General features: G+C 51.3%; 1 protein-coding gene and 1 long non-coding RNA gene across 6 annotated transcripts; one reads left to right on the top strand and one right to left on the bottom strand.

Moving 5' to 3' along the window:
- Positions 1-480: 480 nt before the first annotated feature.
- On the bottom strand, positions 481-11,195 carry FAM181A (family with sequence similarity 181 member A). 5 transcript variants are annotated; one of them, NM_138344.5, is made up of 3 exons: positions 11,095-11,195; positions 4,719-5,041; positions 481-1,890 (listed from the first exon to the last, which is right to left on the bottom strand). In NM_138344.5, the coding sequence occupies exons 2-3, from the start codon at positions 4,815-4,817 to the stop codon at positions 925-927; spliced, it is 1,065 nt and encodes a 354-aa protein (NP_612353.3). In that variant the 5' UTR covers positions 4,818-5,041; positions 11,095-11,195; the 3' UTR covers positions 481-924. The 5 variants fall into 5 exon arrangements, with proteins under 5 accessions (NP_612353.3, NP_001194000.1, NP_001194001.1 ...); NM_001207071.2 differs by lacking the exon at positions 4,719-5,041; NM_001207072.2 differs by lacking the exons at positions 4,719-5,041; positions 11,095-11,195 and adding an exon at positions 2,463-2,745.
- FAM181A-AS1 (FAM181A antisense RNA 1) lies at positions 3,717-25,359 on the top strand. Its single transcript, NR_027004.2, has 11 exons — positions 3,717-3,813; positions 6,089-6,688; positions 7,708-7,813; positions 7,924-8,028; positions 11,769-11,904; positions 12,693-12,850; positions 18,470-18,575; positions 19,480-19,519; positions 20,919-21,170; positions 21,977-22,119; positions 24,701-25,359. It is a non-coding gene; the product is annotated as an FAM181A antisense RNA 1 (long non-coding RNA).
- Positions 25,360-27,969: the final 2,610 nt, after the last annotated feature.

Raw genomic sequence — 27,969 nt, 5'->3', positions numbered from 1 at the left:
CCCCCTGTTTTGTCCACAGGGACCAAACTCCTGTTTGGCCTGATTTTCCCTCTGACCAGAGTTGGGCACAACCACCTTGGCACAGAGGCTGCCCTGCGGCTGTACACAGAGCAGAAGACACTGCAGAGAGACCCATTCTCATCTCACTGTCCTGCAGGTGGGGCAAGGAGACCCCCAGAGGAAGCGTCTGGCCGCACAGCACAGGGCGGCGCTGATACTGCAGCCCCACCTCCCCTGGTTCCAGCACCTATTCTCCAGAGCACGTTGGACCCCCTTGGGGGTCCACGCCAGCATGTCCTTCCCTAGTGGCTCCTCCGCTCCCCTCCTCACCCTCCTTCCTTTGAACCAAGATCTTGGCCCCCAGCGCCCATTCCCGGATATCTCAGAGGTTTCAGCCGCTCCTGGCCTCCCTGAAACCAGCCACCTCTGCCAGCAGCCCTCAGCCTGGGTGGGGCTCATTCAACTTCATGACACCCAAGATATGGAAACTCCAAAAGAAATGTCTTTATTCTTTTAACTTTCTCAATATTTACAAAGAACAAGAAGAACAAGAACAACAACTGAGATTGGCTCGCAGAGTGGGTGGCAGGTAAACAGATGCGTCTCTCTGGCTTCTGGGGTGACTGCAAGGCAAGGAAGGGCAACATCCCAGTACCTATGGTCTGCACAGGGACAGCGGGACAAGCTGCTGGGCCCTGGCCTGCCTGGGGAGGGGCCAACCAGGTCCAGCCTCCCAGCTTCCAAGGCTGCAAGGCTGAAGGGTCACTGCCTGAGGAGCCCTGCCCCAATCCTGCCCTCCACTCCCATGCGCACACAAACGGAAGAGGCCACACTGTGGCCCAGCCACCTCCTCACAGGAGAGCGCCTCGGGGACCTCGACACTCCTGCAGGCCAGAGGTGGGGGCTGAGGCCCTCTCCGCGTGGCTAGAGGTAGCCAAAGACATTGAAGATGGGTGGGGGCACGGCTGGCTTGGTGGGGATGGGTTTCAGCACCACGGGCCTGCACACCTTCTGCCCCAGGCCGTCCACATCCTTGCAGAGGTGCGCCAGCTCCCCGGGAAAGGCTGGGCTCTTCCTCCAAAGGCCCAGGCTGGGGACAGGACTCTGAGGCAGTGCCCCCAGGGGGCCCGGATAGATGGGCTGTCCATGGTACTGGAAGGGGCAGCAACTCCAGGCATTGACGCGGCCCACCAAGGAGACCCCAGGCATCTTGAGCGGCTCCTTTTCAGCCAGGGCCCTTGGAGACATGGACACCAGGGTAGTCTCAGGTCCCAGGGGCTCCAAGCCCTTGCAATTTTTCTTACCCTCATAGGGAGGTCCCTCCCTGGGGCCCAGTCCCCCCTCCAGCCCCACATGGTAGCTGTGGGTGGGCCTTGGCTCTTCCCAGAAGGAAGCGGGCAGCTGTCTTTTCCTCATGGGCACCTGGCCAGGCTGGGCAGCTTCTGGATGCTGCCTCTGTGGGAGCTGCTCCTTAGCAAGACATTCCTCCCTGTAGGGGTTCCTCAGCACCTTCTCCTTGCAGCCCCCACCCCCGCCGGGGCTGGAATCAGGGCCCAAATCCAGGAGCAGCCTCCTGGGCCGGTCCTCAGACCCCCTTTTCAGGTAGGGCTCAGCAGCTCTGCCAGGAAGGCCCCGCGGGAGCCGGGAATACTTCTGGGAGAAGCGCTTGAGCTGCTTCTGCAGGTACTTGCGATGGTCCACGGAGCGGCGGCAGGGTGCGGACTTATCCAGGGCTGCCTTGATGTCGCTGGACGCCAGGTTCACGAAGTTCAGCAGCATCTTCACATCACTGTCGGATGCCATCACCAGGGGGCCACTGCACGAGGCTTTCCATGAAGAGGGTAGGCTCTGCTGGTGGCCGGCAGCTCCAAGGAAGGGCACCGAGCTGACCTGGGGGACAAAACAGGCCATCGGAGTCTCTCCAAGCAACCACACCCAGCCCTCCCAAAAGACCACAGCACCTGTCTACAAACAGTCTCCCCACCCCAGCACCTCTCAGCCCTAAACAGAGTCCTGGGTAGAGGGATGTGGGTGCAAGTGGCTGAGCACTTCCTGCACACCTGGGATGCGGCAGGCACCAGCAGAGCCTCGCCCAGCCTGCTTGGGTCTGGTGCCCCTTCTTGCAGCCAAGGCTCAGAAAGGTCAAGCAAGTCGCCCAAGGTGACCCAGCTACAGGTGGCATTGCTGGGGCTGGCACACACTCCCAGCCTGCCCCATCTCCCACACACCACGCTGCCAACGTGTGCAACTTGCCAGCGAGGTGTTTATTCTCTGAGCTGAGGCAACTGTTCCTCTTTAAAGCAAGGCCAAGCCCCCTTCCTCCCTGGTGGTAGCCTCCCCCTCCCACCACTCCTGCCCCCAGCACGAGGAGCACCAGCCCCCCTCCTCAGTCCCCACGCTCCACCCCCAGCTCTCACGCAGGACCAGGCAGGACCCCTGTCTGGCACTTAATCGAGACCTGCCTTGCGGGCTGATCTCAGGCTGCGGGCAGCAGGGATTCCCCCGAAGAAGCATCTGCAGCAATTTCATGCCTCCTCGGCCGCCACCCACGGCACCTCGCCCCTCCCCCAGGCCCCAGCCTGCCCCCACACCCGCCACCCAGTCGGGCCAGAGCCACCGGGCCTCCACACTGACCGAAGGTGCGGCCCAGGCCCCACCAACGTGGCCCGGCAGGTTCCCCACTGCAGACCTGGGACAGGCCCCGGCGCAGCCGGCCGAGCTCCGTCCGGCTGGAAGCAGTTGTGCAACCCTTGAGTGGGCTGAATGGAGGACAACTCCCCGGAGCTGGGGGGCCCCTCAGGCCAATCAGGAGCGCCTCTCCAGATACAAAGCATCCCAATCAGGCGGCGGCGCCCCGTTCCCACATTCTTTGCCGTCACAAATTGTCACCATGGGGACCATCACAAAAAAGACAGCTCCCAAATGCAATCATTTCCCGGTAAATTTCTACCCTTCAGCCCCACTCTCCTCAGCCTCCACCCCCCTCCTCCCCTTGACCTCAGTTCCCTGGTTTCTCAAGGGGGTGGGGTGTGTGTGTGTGTGTGTGTGTGTGTGTGTTTAAAATGTCCAGGATTGAGAAGGGGCTGGGCCTAGTGGAGACAGGCTTGCAAACCTCCCCCAAAGACTCCAGGCCTACAGCTGCCATGCTCCAGTGCGGACAGACAATCGGACGGGGTAAGCCGGGGCGGGCTGCTTTTCCCGCTGTCCTTGAGTGTTGAGTGGCTCTCTCGCTCTCACTCTCTCTTCTCCTGTCTCTCTGTCTCTCTCTCTGTCTCCCCCTGCCACCCCCACCACCCTCCCTGCCAGGATCCCCCAGGGATCGGGGATGGAGGGCCTTCAAGGTCAGGAGGTGCGCTGATGCCTGTCGGAAAAGGTGGCCGAGGAAGGACTCTCTAACGAGGTGCTGGGATATCCATGGGAAGGGAGCTGGAGCTCTCAGGAATCTTGTCTTTATGTTTGCTTCCTCAATTGAGCTGCACAAAGCCTGAATTGCCCATTCAGCGCAGCCGGACAAAAGGTTGGCGTTGCACGGTCCCCTTGCATTTGTAGTCAAACAGTTAGGGACTTAAATCGAGTCGTCATGATGGAGAAAGAGGTGGACAAAGCCCATAGAATTGCCATCAGCAAACATTTTCCTGTGTCATATTAGCCAGTTTCCATGGCTCCCCCTGGCCTGCGGACAATGGGACAAGTTTGCACACTTGGCTACTGTCACCGTGCCAACGCCGGCGGGGCTGCAAGCAGGGCCACTCTGAGCAAGCAAGGGAGCCCAGAGCCGCTGTTGGCCCTGCCCACCAACTGGCCAGAGGGAAGGTGAGGCTGAAGGCGAGGGCGGCCGCCTGGGAAATGCTAATGGTCGTGCCTCCGTGCCAGCCCAGCTCACGGGCCCCTTTCACGCCTCATCATTTTTCTGCCCAGACTCAGCCTCCTCTTCCCTCCTCCTCTCCTTCCCCTTCCTTTTCTCTTCCCCTTCTACTGCCTTCTCCTCCTGTCTCCCTCACCAGCCAGATGGCTGGTGGCCTGTGCGCCAACCCACACCTCTGTACTACAACCTAAGATTTGGCATCTTAGGTTGCAGGACTCCTCCCTGGAGTCTCCCTACCCAGACTGGGGGCATTGGCAGGGCAGAGCCAGGGCCTCCATCCAGAAGTGATGGCCCTGCTCCTTCCCACTGGCCAATAGACAGCTGCTGTGGCCTGACTCCAAGCCATCTCCCCTACCCCTGGCCTGAGGGTCCTTACAGGCAAAATGAAGGGTTTGGAGGAGATGGCCCGGTGCTGACAAGCTGTGACTCAATTTAGGCCTTGAAAGCCAGCACTGTATTCTCCATGCCCCTACCCTGCTGCGGGGTCGGGGAAGTGTGGACCGAGATGGAAGTGCCGCTGGACTGACGCATCCTAGATTGTTGGCCACTACGTGCCCTGGAGGGTTGCTCCTGCCTGCGGCAACCTTTGCATGGGTGAGAGCCAAACCATCATCATTTTAAGTGCCAGAGATTTGAGGGCTATGTGTTTCTGCAGCACGTCCCAGCCCACCCTGACTGGTACAAGCAGGAAACATCCTTTCTGCTCCAAAACATCTGGCACGCGTGGCTGAAGAGAGCGCCCTGAGGGCCTGTGGCCACCAGGGCCAGCTCCCTGCTGCCTACTGTGTGAGGCTGGTGTGCACAGCCAACAGTTTGAACCTCTCCAGCAGCTGGCATCTGACTACGTAACCACCTGCTTTGCTGTGCTCGCCCTTTTCTCCCCAGGCCTTCTGTGATTTGTGGGGGCTGCATCATTCCTCTCTCCAGAAGATCTTCTCTCTTCTAAGGGCATCAAGACATTTTAGAGCCACTCAGCTCAGCTCCCAGCTTCCTTGAGATCCCACGGCACCTGCAGCCCTGCTGGCCCATTCTGCACTGCCCGCTCATGAAGCTGTCTCTCCTTTCTTAGCCAGTAGTAAGCCTCCCCACCAGGCCCGTGGACTCCGTGGGAGGTGAGTTGGTGTCTTACGAAAGTCTTTCCAAAGCTCTTAATGTGGGCTGTTCTTCCACCAAACACTTTTTGAGGAAACAGAGAAGGAAGAAAAGAGGGAAGAGAGAAAGGAAAGGGAGAGAAAAGTGGAAGAAAATGGATTCTTTGTGGACACCCAGCATGTGCCAAGAGCCGTATTCCACAACCACATGAAGACCTCACCTGACCCTCGGGGCAGCTCCGTGAGGGTAGTGTTGTGGTTGCCCTGACAAATGAAGTGAGGTTGAGTTACTTTCCCAAGGCTTCACAGCTGTTAACCAGCAGAGCTTGAACTTGAAGCCAGGCCCGTCTGTGTCCAAAGGCTGAGTTGGATCTGCCTGGCCACATTGCCTCCTGGAGCTCCCGTGAGCACCAGATGCTGCCTAAGCGCTGCCGGCCAGGAAGACCAGATTTTCTCCATGCGTCCTGGGTTCCACTCTTCTAGCACAATGTTGGACCTTCCCAACTCAGGAATATGGGAGCTGCAGCTTTGGGAAGTCAGGAGCAGGGAGAGGAGGCAACTGTGGCTTGAGGCCAGGCCTCTGGATGCCTCTGACCCACACAAGGGAAGGCTCCTCTGTGTTTTCTGATTGGCCATATAGGCAGGTGGAAAGACAGCAGTAATCACACCAGTCATAAGACTCTCCCAGTGTTCTCTCATTATTGTCCTGGGTCTGGGCAGAGAGGGGATTATTTTTCCCATTTACAGTTGGTGACACACCCACAGAAGCCTCAAACCTGATTCTTGGGCCCAACTCAGCCAACCCTGTCCTCTCAGCCATTCTTAAAGGCCCAGCTCAAACACCCCCTCCTCCAGGATGCCTTCCGCCAACTCCTAGCATTGTTAATAACGCCCTCTCCCATCCCTGTGTTCCTAGAGTCAAAGATGAAGTCTAACCTCCTTAGCTAAATGCAGAAGGCCCTTTGTAATCTGACTCCTACTAGAGCCTGGCACAGAGTAGCTTCTTACTAAATGTTTTAAGAATTAAATACTTTGCCCATTCCAATGAGCAGGATTTTTCCTGTGAACCGTAAACAGCTGCTTCCTGTCTTATTTTTTTAAATTTTGTCTGTTTATTGTTTGCCCCATCCAGGTGAGCTCCAGAAGGGAAGGGAGTTCTTTCACAGCTTTCTGTCTCTGTATCTCCTGTGACTTGAATGGACTCAGCACACAGCAGGCCTGAGTGAAGGATGCTTGTGGTTGCTATGGCTTACATGACAACGAATTGTCTGTAATCCTACAGGACTATGGCACATGAAAGCTGGAAGCGCTTCTTTCCGACTGCATCGCCCAGCACCAGAGCCCGAGTTCTGTAAAGCTCTGTTAAAGGCACATGAGCTGTGCTGGCTTCAACTGCCCTGAACTTGGATAAGCTGGGCCGCTGATGGACCCTTCCCAACCGGTTGTTGCTGCCTTGGTTTCCCGACAGTCCACTGTGCTGACCCTGCAGCAGGGACTCCCAGCTTTGCATCAACTCCATTCAACACCTACTGTGTGCAGGGACCAGAGGGTGTGGAGGTGGCATTCCCTGCTTTATCTTGATAAGTAAACGTTTGTCTCCTGCCCACTCATCAGTGAAGCAGAACAACTACCTAGCAGTCTCCTGGGAGCCACCCCTCCAGAACCTCTGGATGTCAACAGACACCATCTACTTATAGGATTCAGCCAGCACATGTGTAGACTGGAGCTGCAAGTGAGAAGAGGCATCTGGCAGGGCATGCACAGGCCAAGCCTTAGGGACCCAAGGAGCTCATCTGGGGCAGTGGGTTTTCAAATTGCTTTGAAGCAGAGATGCCCATTTAAAAATATGTGGAGATTCAGCCGGGCGCAGTGGCTCACGCCTGTAATCCCAGCACTTTGGGAGGCCGACACGGATGGATCACCTGAGGTCAGGAGTTCGAGACCAGCCTGGCCAACATGGTGAAACCCCGTCTCTACTAAAAACACAAAAATTAGCTAGGTGTGGTGGCGGGTGCCTGTAATCCCAGCTACTCGGGAGGCTGAGGCAGGAGAATCATTTGAACCCAGGAGGCAGATGTTGCAGTGAGCTGAGATTGTGCCATTGCACTCCAGCCTGGGGGACAAGAGTGAGACTTCATCTCAAAAAAAAAAAATGTGGAGATTCAACATGTAAAACCATGACAACTATGGGCTATGAGTACAAATTTATTTTCCATGCTCAAATGCATACCTTCTACTTATTTGCAAACAATGCATTAGAACAAGGAGTCTGTTCTGATGATATAAAACTTTGAAATCAGGAGATATGGATTATGGTCTCACATCAGCCATCAGCCATACTTTGTTTTGGTTGCAGAACATTTACAAAATCTTGGTTTAGAGAGAGAAGCAGTTGAGATGTCAACTTTCTAAAAAAGTTTATCTTTTAATTAATTTATTTTTTGAGATAGAGTCTCGCTCTGTCACCCAGGCTCTAGTGCAATGGTGCGATCTCGGCTCACTGCAACCTCTGCTTCCCAGGTTCAAGTGATTCTCCTGCCTCAGCCTCCTGAGTAGCTGGGATTACAGACGTGTGCCACCACCCCTGGCTAATTTTTGTATTTTTAGTAGAGACAGGGTTTCACCATGTTGGCCAGGCTGGTCTCAAAATCCTGACCTCAGGTGATCCGCCTGCCTCAGCCTCCCAAAGTGCTGGGATTACAGCTTTCAGCTACCACGCCCAGCCTAAAAAAGCTTCTCTTATGATCTTAGGATGGTCATCAAATGAAAGGAGTCCCTGGAGAAACTATTACCTGGTCCCCACAGGAGTTAACCTGACTGCCCAAGTTCACCAGTCAGCAGCCTAGCGTGTCACCTTGTGAGTTAAAATGCGTTTAAATGTATCTGTTTGTTGGTACATGTTTGGTAATGTTTTAAATTGCCAAAAATAAATGTTAAAGGAGATTTTACATTTTCACACCTCTACAGAAAATTCAGTCCCAAAAGATGGGCTGACTTCTCATTTTAGAGATGAAGACAGAGAGGCCCAGAGAGGGGAAGAGATTCATCCAAGGCAAAGCCAGGCAGAGCCAGGTAGGAGAAGCACCTGGGAGGGAGCTCTGCTCTGCCAGCCACCCTGTGCTGTTTCTCACACCTCATCATATGAGTGTAAAGTCCTACTTGATGGAAATATGTGTCATATATTGTCATTTGTTCTTCCCAGTTGCCACGGTTACTCTCTTTAATGGATGAGGAAGTTGAGGCACAAATTGGGCTAGGAGACTTGCTGAAGGTCCCATGGGCAGTAAATGACAAAGCTAGGGTGGGAGTGATCCTAAGATGCTGCTCCCACCGACAACTGTGAACCAATATGAGGGCCCCATCTCCCTCCCAGGGGCCTTGCTAGCCCAGGGCTACAGACTCTTCCCAGCCACCCCTGCCCTGGAGAGTTAGGCCCGACCGACCACACCAGCTCGGGGAACATAACAAAGGCCACGCGGAGGACAGAGTGGCCTGGCAGCGCCTCTGTGGACATGCGACGCAGACATCACAAGATGATTTATGTAACCTCTTACATAATGGCAGCATTTCTATCAAAGACCAGCCCACGGCAGGCTGTCAGCTATAATCAGAGTGGACGTGCTTCTTGCTTCCTGGGAACAGGAGGCACCAGGTCAAAGCCAACCCCTCTGGCTGGCAGGCCGAGGGCTTCCTGTGCTGGTGAAGTTGCCTGGTGTGGCTGTGCCCTCAGAGGAGGCAGAGACCTTGTAATGCCCCAGAGTAGTCACAGGCCGGCTCAGCCAGCCCCAGCACCCCTGGCTGCAGTCCACCTCCAGTGACAGAGACCACTATCAATGTGATCAAGTCCCACGTTGGAAGTGCTTTCAACCATATTATTGTACCATGAAAGGGAGACGGGCTTCAGAGATAAGATCTTTGAACTCTGCCCCTACCTGGCTGTGTGATCTTGAGGTAGTCACTCACCCTCTCTGGGCCTCAGTTTCCTGGTTGAATTACATCATCAATGCTTGACCTCTGTGCTGCACACATGGGTATTGATATGGTGCTATCGTGATACAGTGCTATATGATAGCGTGCCACAAGTCGGTGCTACTTATATTTGGCAAATGATTTGGTTTTTCCTAGTATAAATCTGAGCAGATTCAACATCATAAAATCAGGTAAGCCCACTTACACTCCCCTGTGCATTCTTGAAAGGGATATGAATGAGTGGGGTTAGAGCTGGTGAGTCTGAGGACTCAAGCCCCAGGAAAAGAGGAGAGCTCAGCCCATCTTCACCATGTGGAGTCTCAGGAGGGATGGGGTTCAGGCAAAGAGTTCTATGTTGAAGAAGAGTGGTGCAAACAGACCTCTGTGTCTTGTTCCTGATTTTAGGGGAAAAGCTTTTGGTCTTTCACCATGGGATATGATGTAGCTGTGGGAATTTTGTAGATCCTCTTTATCAAGTTGAGGATACTTTCTTCTATTCCTAATTTTCTGGGAGTTCTTGTCGTGAATGGATGTTAAATTTTGTCAGATGAATTTTTTGCATCAATTTATATGATCATGTGTTTTTTTCTTTAGCCTATTTACAATTTGTACTATGCTAAGATATAACATCATAACATTTACTATTTTAGCCTGCTTTTCTGTCTTTTCCTCCCTCCCTCCCTTTCTTCCTTCTTTCCTTCTTTCCTTCCTTCCTTCCTTCCTCTCTCTCTTTCTTTCTTTCTTCTTTTTTTGAGACAAGGTCTTGCTCTGTCACTGCAGTGCAGTGGCACAATTGTGGCACACTGCGGTGTCTTGACCTCCTGGACTCAAGCAATCCTCCCACCTCAGCGTCCCAAGTAGCTGAGACTACAGGTTCACGCCAACACATCCAGCTAATTTTTAAAAATTTTTTGTAGAGAGGAGGTCTTACTGTTTTTCCCAGGCTGGTCTCAAACCCCTGAGCTCAAGCTATCCTCCCATCTCAGCCTCCAAAAGTGCTGGGATTACAGGTATGAGCCACCACACCTGACTGCATTTCACTTCTAATATCATAATCTATGTCTTCTCTCTTTTGGTCAGCCTTGCTAGAAGCTTGTTAATTTGATTGATCTGTTTAAAGAACCAGCTCTTTTTTTATTTTTTATTTTTTATTTTTATTTCTTTTTCTGTTTTCAATATCATTGACTTCTGCTTTTATCTTTATTACTTCCTTTCTTCTTCTTGCTTTGGGCTTATTTCACTTTTCTTTTTCTGAGGGCATGGCTTTGATCATTGATTGAGATCTTTCTTGTTTTCTAATGTAGGCCTCTTAGTGCTATAAAATTTCCTCTCAGCACTGCTTTGGCCGCATCTCACAAATTTTGATATGTTGTGTTTGCATTTTTCTTTGGCTCAGTATATTTTTGTTATTTTCTTTGAGATGTCCTCTTTGGCAACGAGAAAGACCTATGTGGGACTTTCTCGGCAACAAGAAGACCCACGTGGGACTTCCCTGGGGAGTCAATAATGCTCACCAAGTGGTTCTAAAGCATTTAGTGGACACCTACTATGTACAGGACATTCTCTGAAGTGCTGGGGGTAGCAAAATGAATACGAAATCCATGCCAACAGCCTTGAAAATAGTTTACTCACCTCTTATTAAATGCTAATAATGTTTCAAAAACTTCTTCTGTATTAACTCCTTCATAATGAGGTGGATATTGCTATTACGCCTACTTTACAAATGAGGACACTGAGGCACAGGTTGACTAAGTGACTTGACGAAGACCCCACAGCCAAAAGGGGTGAAGCTGAAGTGCAACCCAAGCCAATTACTGTGATTTTATGATTAATCATCATGATCAGTAAGCTCTGAGCCTCCTATTCCTCACCCTTGAAGTGTAGCTAAGGGCAGTTCCCTGGCAGGGTTGATAATGAGGATTAAGACATCAGCCATGAAAACTCAACAAACACATCAATCTCCTGGTTCATAGTCGGTGCCCTTCCCTTGCCTTTGCCTCTCCCCTGGGCTGGATATAATGGCTGCTCAGGTGAAGCTGTAAAGAAGGGCTGGTGGGACAAAAGTGACATGGTAGTGGTGTCTCTGCCCTGCGGGGCATCCCAGATGGACCACCGCCCCACATTCACGCCCCTGCTCTGCACGCTCCCCCACCCCCACACACCCATCACCTTGACTGTGTCCTCCAGTACTGATAGGCCTCGTCACTCTCCCAGGCACCAACCAGGAATGAAAAGTCTGTTTGATCTCAACTGTCATCTCGGGTTTGATTGGCGATGACTGGCAGGTGCCCTGTGGAGAGATTCCAAGGGCTCAGTAGACAGAACACTCTGATCTACTAGTGATGTCTTCCCTGAGGGAGGATGGAGATGAAGCCGGCTGTGTGCCAAGTGTCCCTGGATCCAGGTCAGAATCACAGGATGGGAAGCCAGGGATGTCAATACTTGGCATTCTGGTGATCCAAGCCTGCCATTTTAATCAAGGGATTGGAGCCCCTTGAGAAAAGCAGTGACTTATTCAAGCACATATTCCTGTGACCAAGATTCAAGTTTCCCACCTCCCAGGCCAGAATTCATCAGGTCCATTCAACAGACATTTGTTACTAAGTTTCAACTCCAGGCCAGGCACTGACTTAGCCATAATAGATATCTTACACATCTCATAGTATTTATTCTCACAACAACCTTCTGTGATAGATCCTAATGTCATTCCCATCTGGCAGATGAGGAAACTGGGGCTCAGGTAGACTAAAGACCTTAACAGCTAGTGAGAGACAGAGCCAAGATTTGAATCCTTACCTCCTGACTCTGAACCCAAATCCTTCTAACATGCTGCTTTGTTTCAGGGGTGAGAGGCAGCAGTGATGGCTACAGCCATACCTTGAGTCAAGGCACTGAGACGGAGAGTGTTAGGCATTTTGGAGAGCGGAGACAGTGAGAAGCTCAGTGCAGCGGCGAAGAGAGTTCGCTGCAGGGAGTGAGGTGAGATAAGGTTAAGTAGAAAGGTTGAATCCCCCATGTATCTTTGCATGCAGTAGGCACATAATACATGCTTAATGACTGACTGACTGAATGAATGAATGAATAAACAAATCAGAACATAGAGTAAAATGGTTGGTTGGCTCCTGAGCCATTTTAGGAGCTCCAACAGCCAGTCATAAAACAATCTGTAAACAGCAAGTGCATCCTCAGTGCCTGGCTCCCACCCCTCCAGCCACACTGTCCCTCAGGTATGTTGCACAAACAGCACACCTTCGTCGTCAGAGAGGATCCCTTGCCTCCTGGGATGGGAGCTTCCAAGGGAAAAGTGATGGGGCAGGGGTCTAACTTGCACTGAATACTGCAATGCCCCAAGAGTTAGATATTTGTCATCTCATTTAATCCTCATCAAACAAACAAACCAATGAGTCAAAATGAGTCAATAAAACCCGAGATGGGTATTGTTCTTCCCATTTGACAGATTCAGAAACTAGGACCAGGGAGATAGAACTCTCCCCTAGTGGCAGAGGAGCTGGGGTTTGGGCTCAGCCAGTGTCTACAGTGCCCTTAGGGGAAGGTGGGGTTGGCGGTGGGCATTGTGCCCTCTTGCCTTACATATTCCCAGCCCCCACCCCAGCCACCTGGAGCACCTGTCCTACTTGAGTAATAGAAGACTCTTCATCGGCATCTATCATTTAGTTCCTGGCCTCTGATCACAACTCTGTCTGTAGCCCAAATCTAGCCCATAACAGACTTTTTCAAATTTCTCTGAATATGCCATCATCTCTCAGGAAAGGGGCATTTGCATCATCAGCAAAAGGGCCATTTTCACCTGCCTCAGCATTCCATTCCCGTGCTCCCTGACTTGGTCCTGGTGGGGCGTGCTGGGACTATGAAGAGTTACTGCTGTGAGCGCTGCGGCCCCCCATACCTCCACCCTAGCACCAAGGTGAGCTCTCCTAGACCAACGTTGGCCCCTTGGATGGCATTCCAGTGCCTGGCACATGGCAAAGCCCTTGAAGCGTGTTTGTCACCCACAGAGGTCACTCACACACCTTAGGAGTCAGACAATTGCATTTCGTTCCTGCCTCGCTCATCTGGGCAGTGATTTCATCTGTGTGGGCCTCACACTCCTCATCTGATAAGCTTGGTGGAAACAGTGCCCAGCTCCCGGGCTGGGGTCACTTTCAGCAGGCTAAAGGATGAATAGGGGTTGTTTTAGCTCTGCTGGTCTGGGGAGGAGGGGAGACTGGGAGGAAGAGCGTGAGGCAGGAGAATAGGGTCTGGAGGCAGGGACCCAAAGGCAATTCACACGGACCTCCTAGAACTGAATCAAAAGGAAAACACCATCTTTCCACACCCAAGTAACAAGGATTAGAGGCTACTCCCTTTGCAAACCCTACCCGTTTTCCCACTGTGTTGCACATGTAAAATGTAAAGTACCTCTGATCGGTCACCTCCTGTCACCAATCAGACTGGTCATGGGCCAAGTCTTTATTTACATAGGGTGTAACTCTGTATACCCAATGGGAAACCTCTAGAGGGTACATAAACCCTAGAAGATTTGCAACCAGTGCTCTTGAGCCACTTGCTCAAGTATGCTCCCACTATGTACTTTGATTTCAGTAAATCATTGCTTCATTCTTTTGTTGTTTTGTTTGTGCATTTTGTCCAATTCTTTGTTCAAAATGCCAAGAACCTGGACAACTTATAGTCAAGACCCTCCACTGGTAACAAGCATATAGATAAAGGAGAAGACTGGGAAGACGTGGGCTGGAGGGCTGTAGACCACTCCCAGGGTGAGAATTCTTGCTGATGTTTCAACAGATCTCAGCCAATCCTCCCCAGAGCAAGAAGCATGGCAGTGGATGTGAGTTCAGGTGTATTCAGTGGACCTTAGAGTTGGGTCTGTAGCCACATCCCCAGGGTGAGGGTCCCTGGATGAGCCCTGAACAGGGCCAAGTCAAGCAAGAGCCTCTTCTCTCCCCATTCCCTGTTCCATTGCCAGTTATTTTTCTAACCTTATCCACTGGTCATCCTTCACCAGCCACATCCATTTTCTTGCTGTTCCTCAGGCACTAGGCTCACTCCCACCCAAGGGCCTTTGCACTTGCTGTTCCCTCTTCCTGGAATTCTCTTCCCTTAGCTGAGTGGTTGCATTGATAGGCTTGCCACGTGTTTGTGTAAATAAAGTTTTATTGGAACACAGCCAGGCCAGTTTTATTGGAACACAGCCATAGACATATTGTCTATGCTGCTTTTGCCCTACAACAGTGGAGTTGAGGGTTGTGACTGACCCCAGAGTGCACACAAAGCCTCAAGTATTTATAGTCTGGTCCTTTAGGGAAAAATGTTGCCAGCTCCTGCCTTGGATACTTGCACGGCTCACCCTCCCCAGCTTTTCTGTCTTTTTTCAACTCACTCGCTAGTGCGGGCTTCCCACTCTCCAACCTCACCTCTTTCTCTGCTTTCTTCCTCTCCCTGGCGCTGGGTACATGAGATCTCTGGGTATTGATTGCATTCATTGCCTGTCTGCCCACCACAGCACAGGTCCCACAGGGGCAGGGACTTGGGTTCTTGTTTCTTGCTGTATCCCTATGCCTAGAACAGAGCCTCACACCCAGACGTGCACAGGAAATACACTGTCAATGAATGAGAGCTTCCTACACTCCTGGGCACTGGCTCAGCCCACGCCTCTTGGCCCCTGTCTCAGTTTCTCTTGCCATGGAGCCAGGGTCTTGGCAGGTCCCTTGCCAGGTCTCTCCCCAAGGAGGTTGAGTCCTATCGTGAATGGTCACAGTCCCCAGAAACACCCTAGCTCCATGCTAGGACGCAGGCTTCTGACTCCCGCACAGAGCTCCCTGGTACAGTGCAGGAGAGCATTCTACTCAGGACCTCGGACCTCGGACCTCGCCTGGATCTCCCCCTCCCGTACAGCCCTGCCCTGGGGCCTGTGACCCTCCCATTGAATGCTGGCCCATCCTAAGCTGATGCTCTGAGACTTTTAAGCCCCAATAAGAGCTTTGATAACATTCAGTTCACAGAGGCACACAGGGCCTCAATCTCACACACCGACAGGGCTATCGGGTCCTTCTTCGTAACCCCGCTGTACAGAGGAGGAAGCTGAGGCACAGAGTGACCTGCCCAAGTTCATGCAGCTAGGAATTGGCAGACCTGAGATCAGAATCCACGCCCATCTGAGCTCAGGGAGCTCCGTGACACTTCACATCTGTCTCTTCCTAGGGGCCAGCCCTACACAGATGCGCCAGCCCACGGAGCAGCTGGGAGTGTTATTTATGAACCTCCTAGGCTTGGCCCAATCACCCCTCAAGGGCCCCATCACCTCAGGCAGTGCATCTGAAATGCAGATGCTCCAGGTAAACTGAGGCAGTGGAGAAGAGATGGGTTCTGGTGTCAGCAGGACCTGTTTTCCAGCCATGGCCCCACTGCTGTCAGATGTGTGCCCCTGTCACTATTGCTGTAGCAACCTCCCTGAACTCAGCGGTACTCATGGGTCAGGAATTCAGAAAGGGCAGTGAGAGCCACATATCTCCATCTGCAATGTCTGGGGCTGGAAAGACTCAAAGACCGGGGGTGATTTGACAGCCGGGACTGGAGCCATCTCAAAGTCCTCCTCACTCATGTCTGGGCCTTGATGCTGGCTGCTGGCTGTGGCCTGAGCTGGACTGTTGCAGGCACAGCTCCAGTGACCTCTCCTTGTGGCTTCCTGGCTTCCTCACAGCATGGCGGCTGGGTTCCAAATGTAAACATCTCAAGAGACAGGAAGTGGAGCCTGCTAGTTTCTTATGACTGTGGCCTAGAAACCAAAACCAGCACCACATCACTTCTGTAGTATTCTCTTAGCCAAGCAGTCACAGAGCCCAGACTCAAGAGTAAGGATGTAGACCGCATCTCTCAATGGGAGGAAGGTCAAAGAACTTTGGAGCCATGTTTTTTTCTTTTGTTTTTTTTTAAATTCTTTTTCTTTGTTTCTTTTAAAAATGTTTCTGGAGGGGCCATGTTTTACGACTGCCACATTCTGTGACCTTGGGCAAATGGCTTGATCTCTTGAGGTCCCAGTTTCCTTGTCTGTAAAATGGGGATAGTGGTGTCCACCTCAGAGGGCTGTTGTATAAGGTGAACTGAACTCTCAGTTAATAGCAAAGTCAGGCCTTGCACTGGATCCTCAGGCCCCACAGCCAGTGCTACTGATACCACCTGCCCTTCAAGTTGGGGCACACATACTGCTTCTTCCAGGCCTGGGGCAGCTGGGAGGACGGTTTGCCTACGAAGTCCAGTTAGGATGTGGGCAAGCCTTTCCACACATTCACTCAAAAGTGTGCCTTGAGCACCTACTATGTGCCAGCACTTTCTGGGCTTACAGCTTTGATCAAAGCAAGATCTCTGCCTGGGGAAGTTAGCTGTACATTCAAACCCTGTATTTGGGGGATGATGAAGCCCCTGCACAGAGCAGCCTCTGGGCCTTTGGTTCTGACAGTGGCAGCTCTGCCTCATCTCGGTCCATTCCCTGCTCCTAGCTGGCCCTGGTCCTGTCCAGCTAGGCAGGACTGTGGGGCATTATCCTTGCCAACTCCCAGTCTGGCCCCCTCCCTTCCTATCTGTGTTCTATCTATCTATCTATCTATCTATCTATCTATCTATCTATCTATCTATCATCTATTCATCCATCCATCCATCCAATCCCCTTGTCTATCTACTTACCTACCTATCACGTTTCTATTGTTTTCATGGCTTATTTCCCACCAACCACTTTATAAGATGACTATCCTAGGAACTCCAGAGGCCTTGGGAGGACACAGAAGAGATCTATCTGTTCCCAGGGTATTTTCACATTGCTCAGACCCCACGGGACCTTAACACAGGGCTGGGCTTCTGAACCAGCTTCCTTTGGTCACGAATTCTTTGTGGCAATAATAGATGTGATGGGTGTATGCTGGGAGGTGAAGGTACTTACCAAGTCTTTTTTGTTGATTGTTTTAAGTTATAACTCTAATTATAAATGGTTGAGCCGTGTCCATGTGGCCGTGAATGATGACAGCCCCAAGCCCTCCCTGCTAGCCCAACTCTGCCAAGTGAGCCTGCTCTAACATCTGGGAGCCATGCTAACTCAAGCCCAGCAACTGGAGTCTGTCTTGGCCACACCCAGCATGAAACCTGCTTGGAACTCTGCCTCCCCTCAAGTAGCCTCTGGCAGTAGAAAGCGCATGTGTGCTGGAAATCTCCCAGCTGGGTGTGATTCCCAAGCCTATGCCCTGACCTTTACTTTGCCTCTCTGAGCCTCATCAGTCAATGAGGATAATAGCATACTCTTTGCAGGACTCTCATGAGAGCTGAATATCTGGGTGCTCACTCACACTCGGCTCTGGGCAAATCTTCAGTAAATGTCCCTCCTTCCCCTCTGAGAAACATACAGCCACACCTTTGCTCAAGCTGTTTCCTCTACCTGGGCTGCCCTCTTTCCTCTCACTCCCTCATTCACTGTCAAAATTAAACGCATACATCAAGGCCACGTTTAATATGAGCCCTATTTCCAAGGCTGTTCAAAAAAAAAAAGAAAAAGAAAAAAGCAAATTTTTCTTTTAAGCAACTGTCTCACTGAAGACCAAAATGTGAGATGAGTTGGAGGGATCAGCTGTGGTTGTGACTTGGGTGGGCTGGGGCGGCAGTCCCCCTCTTAAACCCCTGAAGTCCATCTGCAGAAAGATCGAGGCTCTGCGGAATATCTTAAAAACAGGGACTGGGTCTGGTTTATTTCTGGGGCCCTGACAGTCCAACTGGCTCAGAGTAGGGGCTCAGAAGTGCTTTGGGAATTAACTGAATTAAACTGAGTCATGTGGAGTTGGGAGGCAGACCCTACCAGACAAGCAGACATACTTTTTTCCCTGATCCCAGCCTCATCCCCGAAACTGGTGTGCACCCAGAGCTTCCCATACCTCCTGGCCAGCAGGGGCCTAGAGGTGGCTGCAGGTGGCAGCCATCAGAGGGACCCTGGCGCCCACTCAGCACTAAGAGGCCAGTTGTCTCAGCACCCCACAGGCCTGGCCTTGGAGTCCCTGGTGCAACTGGGCTCATGGACACCAGACAAGACCAGAGAGGCCTCCTGGAGAAACATGCAAGGATTGGGTTTGGTGGCCTTGTCACTTCCAAGGTGAGACACAAAGGAACACCTTTTCAGTGGGAGAGTATTTATGGAACCAGGTAAGATAGTAATATTTGCTAATACTCATTGAGTACCTACTATGTGCCAGCCACTATTCTAAGCATGTGGTGTATTAATCAGAGTTCTCCAGAGAAACAGAACCAACAGCTCACACACATACGAGGAGATTTATTAGAAGGAATTGGCTCACGTGATTGTGAAGCTGGAGAAGTCCCACAATTCACTGTCTGCAAGCTGGAGACCCAGTAAAGCCCACTGTGGAGATTCCAGTTCAGATCTGAAGGCCTGAGTGCCAGGAACATTGAGGGCAGAAGATCGATGTCCCAGCTCAAGCAGTCACAGGCAGAAAGCAAACTCACTCTCCCTCCATCTTTCTGTTCTATGCAGGCCCTGAACAGAATGGATGGTGTCCACCTGCATTGGGAAGGGCTATCTGTCTTACAACCCATGAGTAGATACTATTAGCAGCCCATCTTAAGATGAGGAAGCTAAGGTACAGACTGGGGAAGTGACTTGTTGAAGGTCACAGCTAGTAAATGGCAGAGCCAGACACAAACCCCAGCAGTCCACCTACAGGGCTACTGCCTCCATCTGCATGTGAATTTAATTCCATGCAGAAAAGGCCTGTGTCATTGAGTTGTTTGGTATATTTATTTCCCAAGCCCCCACCCCTCCATCTCCTTCATTAAGAGCTGGGCTAAAGAGTCCTCTGCTCACCGACCTCTGTGTGGGCTACTGGGTGTGATAGAACCTGGAGGATAGGCTGATGGGGCAGAGGCTGGGACAGAGGAAGGGAGGGTGGGGTGGGCTTCATCCTGCTGGATGGTGGGGAAGGGACGCTATGAGGATGAGAGATGGGCTTAACAAGGGGGGATCGGGCACCAGAGGCCTCACAACTTATTCATGTCAGTGCCATGATTTGCGCCCAGGTTGTTGAGCCTCAGCCTCTGGGCATGACTATTGCACTACAGTGGCCGGGGAGGGACAGGAAGGATGGGTTTCTGTGCCCATTAGGAAATAGACTTTATAGGGTCAGAAATGGGGGCACAAAGGAGAAGAAAAGTTCAGGGAGACTTGCAGGCTTGGGCAAGCAGGCAGGTGGTGGAGTCACACCCTAAGAGGGGGGACCTGGGAGGAGGGACCCTGCCATGCCCTTCAGGATGATGGTGACCATCAGATGAGATGGGGACACTAGGAGGTCTGTGCTGTCATAGCAAAGACATAACAGTTGAAGAGCACTTACAGGTTTTTCCTCATCTCCATTTCCATGTCAAAATTTACCAGTCCTGTGTCCCGTTTCCTCCAGACCATTGCTAATCTGATAAAAAGGCTTCCCTATGGAGGTGGCATTGGAAAAGGCTGGGTTCCCTTCTAACCTTCCCCTCTCTTTTTGCCAGGGTCCTTCCTGAGGCAAATCCTCAGCCGCTGTTGCACGGGGTAAGAGGGAAGGGCAGGGTCAGCCTGGGGAGGATGTGGTGGGATGAGTGCTCAGGGGCTGAGCACAGCACATGTACCAGCCATCTTGGAAGCCACCTCATGTGCCAGACCAGATGGGCCACACCCCTGTCTCCACTGAGAGTGAGCTTGCTGTCTCCAGAGGTAATCGAGCAAGAATAAGACTGACAGTTGGGGAGAAGATAGTAATGCAGATTTAAGCATCAGTGTGTGCACTGGGGAAGTTGCCTGAGGTGACCTGTAACCTTCCATGTCCAGAGTCAAAGATGCTGGGATGCTGAGAATTGGAAACTCCTGGGAGTACCCGCAGGAAAGAGGGTCCATTCGAGGCATCTCCCTGTCTTTCATCTCCAGTTTGTCCACAAGGCCTCACCTCTGGCATGGCCACCCCTCAGACTAGCCAGTCCTTTTTCCATCCAGTACATCTCCATCTCTGTACACCTCATTTCCAGGTGAAGAAGCCAGATCCTCAGAATGTCAGGGCTGGGCAGGACCTCAGAGCTCAGCCAACCAACCTTTGATTTTCAGGGGAGGACCCCGAAAGCCCAAAGTACAAACAGACAATGGCCTGCCTGTGTAGGAAAAGAGAACCTTGGCCCACAATTTCTGCAGCAAGCAGCACATGAAGCCAAACCAAACCTCTGTGGCAATGGGCCCAGAATGGTCAGGGCTCTGTCAATCCTGGTCAGCTTCCCTATTGTTGACTACTGCTTCCAACTCAACACCCATGAAAGAAAGCCAAATATGCTCCTAATGCAATCACATAAGATGTCGGGCTTCCAGCTAGCCACCTCCCGCTTCCCCATGCAACAACCTCCAGTCAGGGCACACCTGAGGCCTCCCCCTTTTCACTATGATGCTTCCCCTCACCCTGCCTGCCTGGGAGTCTCTGTCAAATGCAAGTGACAGTGGCCCATTCCCTTGCCATACCAAGCACACAATAAATGGCCTCTGTTTGATCTCCTTTGGGTGGTCCCAATTTATTTCCACAACACAGAGACCCAGGAAGGGATGGTGGGTTGTTTAAGGTCACATTCCAGGTCTAGGACAGAACTCAGCTCATTCGTTATCACCTCGTTAGAACTTTACTTCTCTGACTCCCTCTATTATTCTAGGTAGAATTGACCACGTTCTCCCTCTTGCCTCTCAGTATCCTTCACACTCTATCTCAGCACCTTCCACACATGCGATGATTTTAAAGTATGTCGAAAGCTCTGTGATACTCATCCCTTTAAGAAGTGGAGCCTAATACTCCTCCCCTTAGTGTGGTCTGGATTTAGTCACTCTTCTAGTGAATAGAATGATATGAAGTGACCATCTGTGACTTCAGAGATGAGGTCATAAGAGGCTCAGCAGCTTCCTCCTTAATCTCTTGGATCAGCTCTAGGGGAAGCCAGCTGCCATGTTGTGGGGATGCTCAAGGAGCCCTGAGGAGAGGCCCATGTGATGAGGAGCTGAGAGGACTTGGGCCAAAAGCCAGTGGAGAATTGAGGTCTCCTGTCAGTAGCCATATAAGCAAGTATTCTGGAAGCACATCCTCCATTCCCAGTCAATATCTTAACTTCAACCTCATGAAAGACCTTGAGCCTAGCTCAGCCACTCCCAGACTCCTGACCCACAGATACTGTGTGAGGTAATCCAAGCTTGTTGTTTCAAGCTGCTAAGCAATCTGTTGCAATAGATAATTAATGCAACACATTTCTGCATTTTTTGCCCTACATGTCTGAGACATATAATATCCAATAATATCCAATTAGGAGCTCTTGAGAATAAGGCACCAGTAGCTCAGGGCTCAGCAATGTTTGATGGACAGACATATGGATGAATGGATGGGTAGATGAGGGTGCACAAAGTAAGCGAGGGGGCACCCTCGCTTACTTTGGCTTCAGGGTTGGATGGATGGGTAAATGGATGGATGGATGGATGGATGGAAAGATGGGGAAATGGGTGGGTGGATGGATGGATGGGGAAGTGGATGACTGAATGGACAGGTTGGATGGATAAGTAGATAGGTGGGCAATTGAATGGATGGGTGGATGGATGGAGGCATGGGGAGATGGGTGGGTGGATAAATGGATGTGTGGATGGATGGATGGTTGGACAGATGGATAAATGGATGGATATTCGAGAACTTCCAGGCTGCTCAGAGACAGCAAGTTTGGTGTGGGCAGTTGCAAAGTTTATTTTAAAAGTCTGATGATATTTTAGTTCAACATGTTTTCGGACAATGGGGCCCTTTCTTGTGCTCCTTGGTGGCCCAGAAAACATAGTTTTGATGGCTAATTGAGTGGTGGTCATAATTTCTTCTCCTGTAAAGACCGTGCTTTTCGTCTATGAGGTTGCTCTAGGCCTGACTGTCCTGTCAACTGTCTCTTTGGTTCCTATCTTATCTACCTGCCAAGACCCTACTCTCTCCTGTGAATCTCTTTTCTTCGTCAGACACCTTGAATCACAGATAGTTGGAGATGAAAAGGACCTTAGAAACCATGAGAAACACCATGGGCGAGGAGACTGGGGAGCTCTGGAGCCATAAACCTGGCTTCAGGTCCCAGTTCTGCCACTCACCAACTGAGTGGCCAAGGGTAAGTCATGTAACCTCTCTGACCCTCAGCCTCTTCCTCTGTGTGTGGCACCTGCCTGCCATCACATGTGGAGGGCTCAGCCCAGAGCTGGCCTGTGCTACGGAGCTAAGCACAGAAACAACCCATCAATGTCACTATCATCTCAAAGCCAAAGTCCTGCCATGTCATTGGGACAGGCTACAGAAACATGTGCAGAGTGTTTATCTCAGGACTCTCATTTGTGAGAGCCATTCATCTCATCCAACCCTCTTAGTTTGTTGTTTTTAGACAGTGTCTTAGTCTGTTACCCAGGTTGGAGTGCTGTGGCATGATCATGGCTCACTGCAACCTCGAAATCCTGGGCTCAGGCAATTCTCCCACCTCATTCTCCTGAGTAGTGGGGATTACAGATGCGCCCCACCATGCTGGCTAATTCTAAACATTTTTTTTGTTTTTGAGATGGAGTCTCACTCTGTTGCCCAGGCTGGAGTGCAGTGGCATGATCTTGGCTCACTGCAACCTCTGCCTCCCAGGTTCAAGTGATTCTCATGCTTCAGCCTCCTAAATAGCTGGGACTACAGGCATGTGCAACCACACCTGGCTAATTTTTTTTTTTTGTATTGTTTAGTAGAGATGCGGTTTCACCATATTGGCCAGGCTGGTCTCAAACTCCTGACCTCGTGATCCACCCACCTCGGCCTCCCAAAGTGCTGGGATTACATAAACATTTTTTTTTGTAGAGACAGGATCTTGATATGTTGCCCAGGCTAGTCTCAACCTCCTGGCCTTAAATGATCCTTCTGCCTTGGCCTCAAAAGCTTTGGGACTACAGGCATGAGCCATGGTGCCAGGTAGACCACTTCATTAACCAGGTGAGGAAACTGAGGCTGAGAGGTGGAGTGGTTTGCCCAAAGCAACCTGGTGAATTAGTGGCATGGTCAGGACATGAATCCTGACTCCAAGACCAGTGCTCCTCCTCTCTCTTCTGAACCCATTTTCTGCACCCTTGGCTAACAGAGGAAAATGCAGGATTCACCTGAACACTCAGCTTTGGCCTCAAATGGCCACGAGAGGGAGCCCTTGGAATTGCTCGGGGCCTCTGTGCTTCCGGTGAAAGAAGCCTTTCCGTCCGTTCTTGAAGGCGCCTAGGCCAGTAGCCCCCGCCCTGCCCCTTCCCTCCCTGTGCCAGCACCTCTGAGGCATTCCAGACTCCGGCTCCTTTTCCTTCTCTACCTCCACCCTCCACCTGGATCCCAGGATTGTCTTTCTCCTTTTCCTGAGTAGAACTGGGATCCTCAGAACCCCACAGTGGTTTTGCCAGGCAGGTGGTGCACATTTGAGGCACCCTGGCTTACTTTGGCTTCAGGGTTGCAGTGACATGTCTAGTTGTCCCTTAGCATCTACTGACACTCCCATCCAGCTATTCCACACACTTCTGCTCAGCCACGCCGGGTGGGAGAGGCCAGGCCAGGGGAGGTGGAGGAGGTGGGAGAGGAGTTTACCTACTGTGTAGCCCGAAGATGACAGAGTTACAGCACACAATGACAGGACATGGCTCGGAGTGTTAGTTGGACACAAGCAGAAGGGCTGATAGTAGAGGCCTTGGGGACAGCTCTGGTGGCAGATTTGAGCCGTAAAGGATGCAGAATAGTTGGCCAGGCAAATAAGGCCCACAAGTTCCTAAGAAACTGGGAGGAGGAGCCTTGCCTCTGGGTCAGGGGTGCTACCTGGGAGGACACCCCTTCTCTGGGCATCAGTAAATAGGGCTAATAAAACCCACTCTGCCTTCCTCATAGGAGGAAAGAATGTCTGAGTACATACAAATGGAAGCAGGTTGGAAATTAAATACCATGCCCATCTCGGGGATGTATTTTAGCACCGGTGTTTTTCTCTTTCCCAGGACGTTCTCCAATAAGCGTTCATTCTGTGTCCCCCAGCACCCACTTTCCCTGTCCTGACCTTCCTGCAGATGCATTTTTGAGACCACTCAGGTTCCTGGGTCACTGATGAGCGTCCCTGTGGGCCTCCCACCATCCTCCACTTGGTGGCTGACTCCAGCCCTCTTCCCTAGCTTGGGTTTTTCCATGAGTCATTTTAAAGTCTTTGTATAAGGCCTATTAGGATAAAAACAGGAAGGCAGGCAAGCCAGCAAGCCCTGGAGGCCATCCCTGGGCTCTTAGGAGATTAAAGTCTGCAAACACAATCCTGGTGTCTGTGGGCCATCTGCCCCCGCACCTCCCATGTGCTGACCAGGAGGACCTCGGAATCTGGGATGAATGGGACACTGTTTGAATGTTGGAAATGCCCCGTTGCTCCTTTCTCTATATCTTTTTAGGCAACACAAATGGCAAGCTCTTTCCAAGTGTCATTCTCCAAATAGATTCCTTCTTGTCTAGGGTCGTGGGGGGAGGGAGTGGAATAAGAGGTGAGCCCCTCTGATGCTCCAGCAGCCCCTTCTGTGGGCCCAGCAGGCCACTCTTAACATCTCCAAAACCTGTGGTTCTTGCAGGACATACACTTTGTTTCATATTCTCCTGGGCTCACTGTGCATAACCGCCTTTGTAATTCTCCAGTTCTCCCAAATGCATATTCTCCCTTGCAGACGGCATTTTTCAGAGAACAGGAGGGAGCTGCTTCCTTAAGTATCGCCTGGGATCACATTCAGACTGGAGATGTTGCCAGAAGCAAATCCACCTCGGTGGGGATTCTGGTTGACCCAGGAGACCCTCTGCTCCTGAGGGAACTGCTGAGGGGCTTGGGCTATGACTCCAGGACCAAGAGTTTTGGGAGAGACTTTCCTTCCCTGGACAAGGAAAAGGAAGTGGAGCTACCAGCTGCTGCTCTGGGAGGCTAGAGGCTCATCTCTCTACCATGCACCCTTTCCGAAGCTCTGTTCTCTGAGGGCTTCTGGAAATACCCGCTTTAATCAGAGTTAAGCCGGATTTGAAGGTTGCGATGATTAGATGTGTCAAAAAAATTTTACATCTAATAACACCCAACGCTGTCAAGAATGTGGAAAAAAACAGACATGTATGCATTGTTGATGCGAGTGTCAATTGGTACCCATTTTTTGGAGGGAGTTTGCTAGTATCATTAGAATGTGAAATAGATATGCTTTCAGACTCAACATTTCCACTTCTAAGAGTCAATTCTAGAGAAATATGTGCACATGGACACAAAGAGTCGGGCATGAAGATGTTTGCAGAAATGTTGTTTGCAACTGCAAAAAACAGTAAAATAAAAAGCCACCAAATCAAAAAACCAAACACCTAGCATTTATCCCCAGCTTTACTGAGATATAATTGACAAGCCTCGGATTTAGACACTGTGGCAGAACTTGGGTACGGTATGCTTTGCAGCCACTAAAAAGAATGACATAAACCTACAGTTGCTGACTTAGAAGGACCTCAAGATGGATCTTTTCATGAAAAAAAGGGATACAATTATAGGTACTGTATCACCCCATTTATGTTAAAAACAAAAAAGAAGAAAGGTAAAATAAAGTCAAAGGGAATGCTTGGGAACGTTTGGGACAAACACACCCCACACTGAGAATAGCAGTGATTTATGAAAGGTTGTAGGCTGGGAAACAATTGAAAAGGGTTGCATTTTTTAGTTTGTAAACTTTTCTGTTGTTTGAAATGTTTCTTAATGAGCACATATTTATGTATATTGTTTTTGTTCCCCAATATGTATATTGTATTTTGCTCCAGGGCACCCACCTCAGAGAAGTCCTGCTCAGAACCTCCGAAGTCAGTTGACTTCATTCAGCAAACATTTTCCGTGCGAGCCTCTGCCCTGCACAGCTCTAGGTTGGGTGTTGAGGACATCAGGGCCATTGTCCCCATCCCCAGGGAGTGCAGTCGCCTGCAGGGAGAGGCAGATGGACAGATGAGGACCGTGCAGTGGCAGAAACTGTGAGGAGTGTCCTCATAAGGACGGCAAGAGTAGAAGGCAGGCGAGGCCAGTTCCCCTGGATGAAGTCTGGGGAGGCTTCCTGGAGGAAGTGACACTAACTTGAGTCTTACAGATGATGGGGGTGTGGATGGGGTGTAGATTGGGTGTGGATGAACCAGTGGAAGAACAAGAGGGAAGATTTGAAGAGGAGGGTTCCAGGAGGGGAGATGTGCACTTGGGGGAACACAGGGCGGGTGATGGGTGGGGTTGGGGAGGACAAGAAGGGTTAGGGACAAGGGCTGAGCTTGGCTTCTCATCTCTCAACTCCTGATTGTTGCTCTGGGGTGCAGGGAGCCAGCCAGTGGCCAGCAGAGGGCACTTTTGCCTCTTCCAACTGCAGAGTCTGGAGCCCCCGGGAGGAGCTGGTCAATGGTTTCATGTTGACATGGGTGGGGAAGCTGGGCTCTCAGGACCCCAGGGAGGATGCACCCCAAGAGCGAGTGAGACCGAGACACAGATGATTAAGTTGCAGCATTAGGAGGCGTGGCAAAGGACTTTAGCCAGTCCACACGTGCAGAGAGGTCATCGGCAGTGCTGCTTTCCGAGATGGTGAAGAGAGGGGCTTCAATCAGAATGTGAGTGTGTGGTGGCACAGGAGGCTTGTGGCCACGGTGAAAGCAAAGGCTAGAGTCGAAGACAGCATTCCAAGAGGGTGCTCTGAGGGCTGCAGCAGCATCAGCCCCGGGGGTCTGGCATGTGGCCTCCCCCACTGGTCCCCTCTACCGCCCACCCTCATTCTCTCTGCCTGAGCTCTTTTCCCTGCTCCTCCAAAGCAGTGTCCCCTTCCCAGTCCTGAGCACTCCTGGACCCTCCACCTGCTCCACAGCAAACCCACCTGGAGTACCTGCTCAGTGCCGGGTCATCTCCTGGAGGTGGGGATGTGGCAGGACCCCAGGAAGGCCCCAGATCATTCCACTGTGGGGGAGGCACAGACACTAACTAAGCAAACAGAGCTTCCGGCAGCGATGGGCCCCAGGCAGAGGATTCAACAGGGCCATGGACAGGTCGGGGAGGCCCTGGGGACACTTCAGCTGAGACCTGAATGTCAAGCTGGAGCCTGGCATGAGGGTGAGGCCCTTACAGGTAGAGCTCCCTGGACAAGGGTGAGTGTGGGGCTTTCAAGAGAGGGAGAAATCAAAGGTAACCCCTCAGTTTTGACCCGAGCCACTAGGTAAACAGAAGGGCTGTTTTCTGAGGAAACAGGGGCTGTGGGAGAGGCCAGCTTCGGGGAAGGAATCCAAAGTTCCGTTCTGGTCACCAGAAATCAGAGGTGCCAATTAGCAGTGCACGTGCAGGGTCACGAAGGCAGTTAGAAATCTGAGTGTGGGCCAGGCGCCGCGGCTCACACCTGTCATCCCAGCACTTTGGGAGGCTGAGGTGGGAGGATAGCTTGAGCTCAGGAGTTCGAGACCAGCCTGGGCAAAACTCTGTCTCTACAAAATATACAAAAATTAGCGGGGCGTGATGGCGCGTGCCTATAATCCCAGCTACTTGGGAGGCTGAGGTGGGAGGATTGCTTGAACCTGGGAGGCAGAGGTTGCAGTGAGCCAAGATTGCACCACTGCACTCCAGCCTGGGTGACAGAGCAAGACTCCATCTCAAAAAATAAATAAATAAATAATTAAATAAATAAATAGAAAAGAAAAAGAAATTTGAGTTTGGATCCTCGGAGAGAGGTCAGGTGTGGGAGTCCGCAGTGTGTAGGCATCTGAAGCCAGGATGAGAGTCTAGCTGAGTTCAAGCTCATACCAGTCATCGCCCAACAGCCAGTAAGTCCAGTAAGTTGAGAGACAAGGTGTTGGGGTAAGGAAAGCGACTTCACTCAGAGAGCCAGCAAACAGAGAAGATGGTGGACTAGTGTTCTAAAGAACCTTCTTAAGTTAGTAGGAACTTCAGGCTCCCTTTAATGTCAAG

This window comes from Homo sapiens, chromosome 14 (genome assembly GCF_000001405.40).
Source record: "Homo sapiens chromosome 14, GRCh38.p14 Primary Assembly".
NCBI lineage: Eukaryota > Metazoa > Chordata > Mammalia > Primates > Hominidae > Homo > Homo sapiens.
The sequence above is the reverse complement of the archived record's forward strand: the minus strand, read 5'-3'. Positions and strand labels throughout refer to the sequence as shown.

What these genes read in the sequence shown, in the direction of transcription:
- FAM181A (NM_138344.5), bottom strand. Translation starts at nt 4,817, where the DNA reads ATGCCCTTAGAAGAGAGAAGATCTTCTGGAGAGAGGAATGATGCAGCC. An exon ending in GGGCGAGCACAGCAAAGCAG is followed by an intron (nt 1,891 to 4,718) that starts GTGGTTACGTAG and finishes TTTGTCCCCCAG; the next exon opens with GTCAGCTCGGTGCCCTTCCT.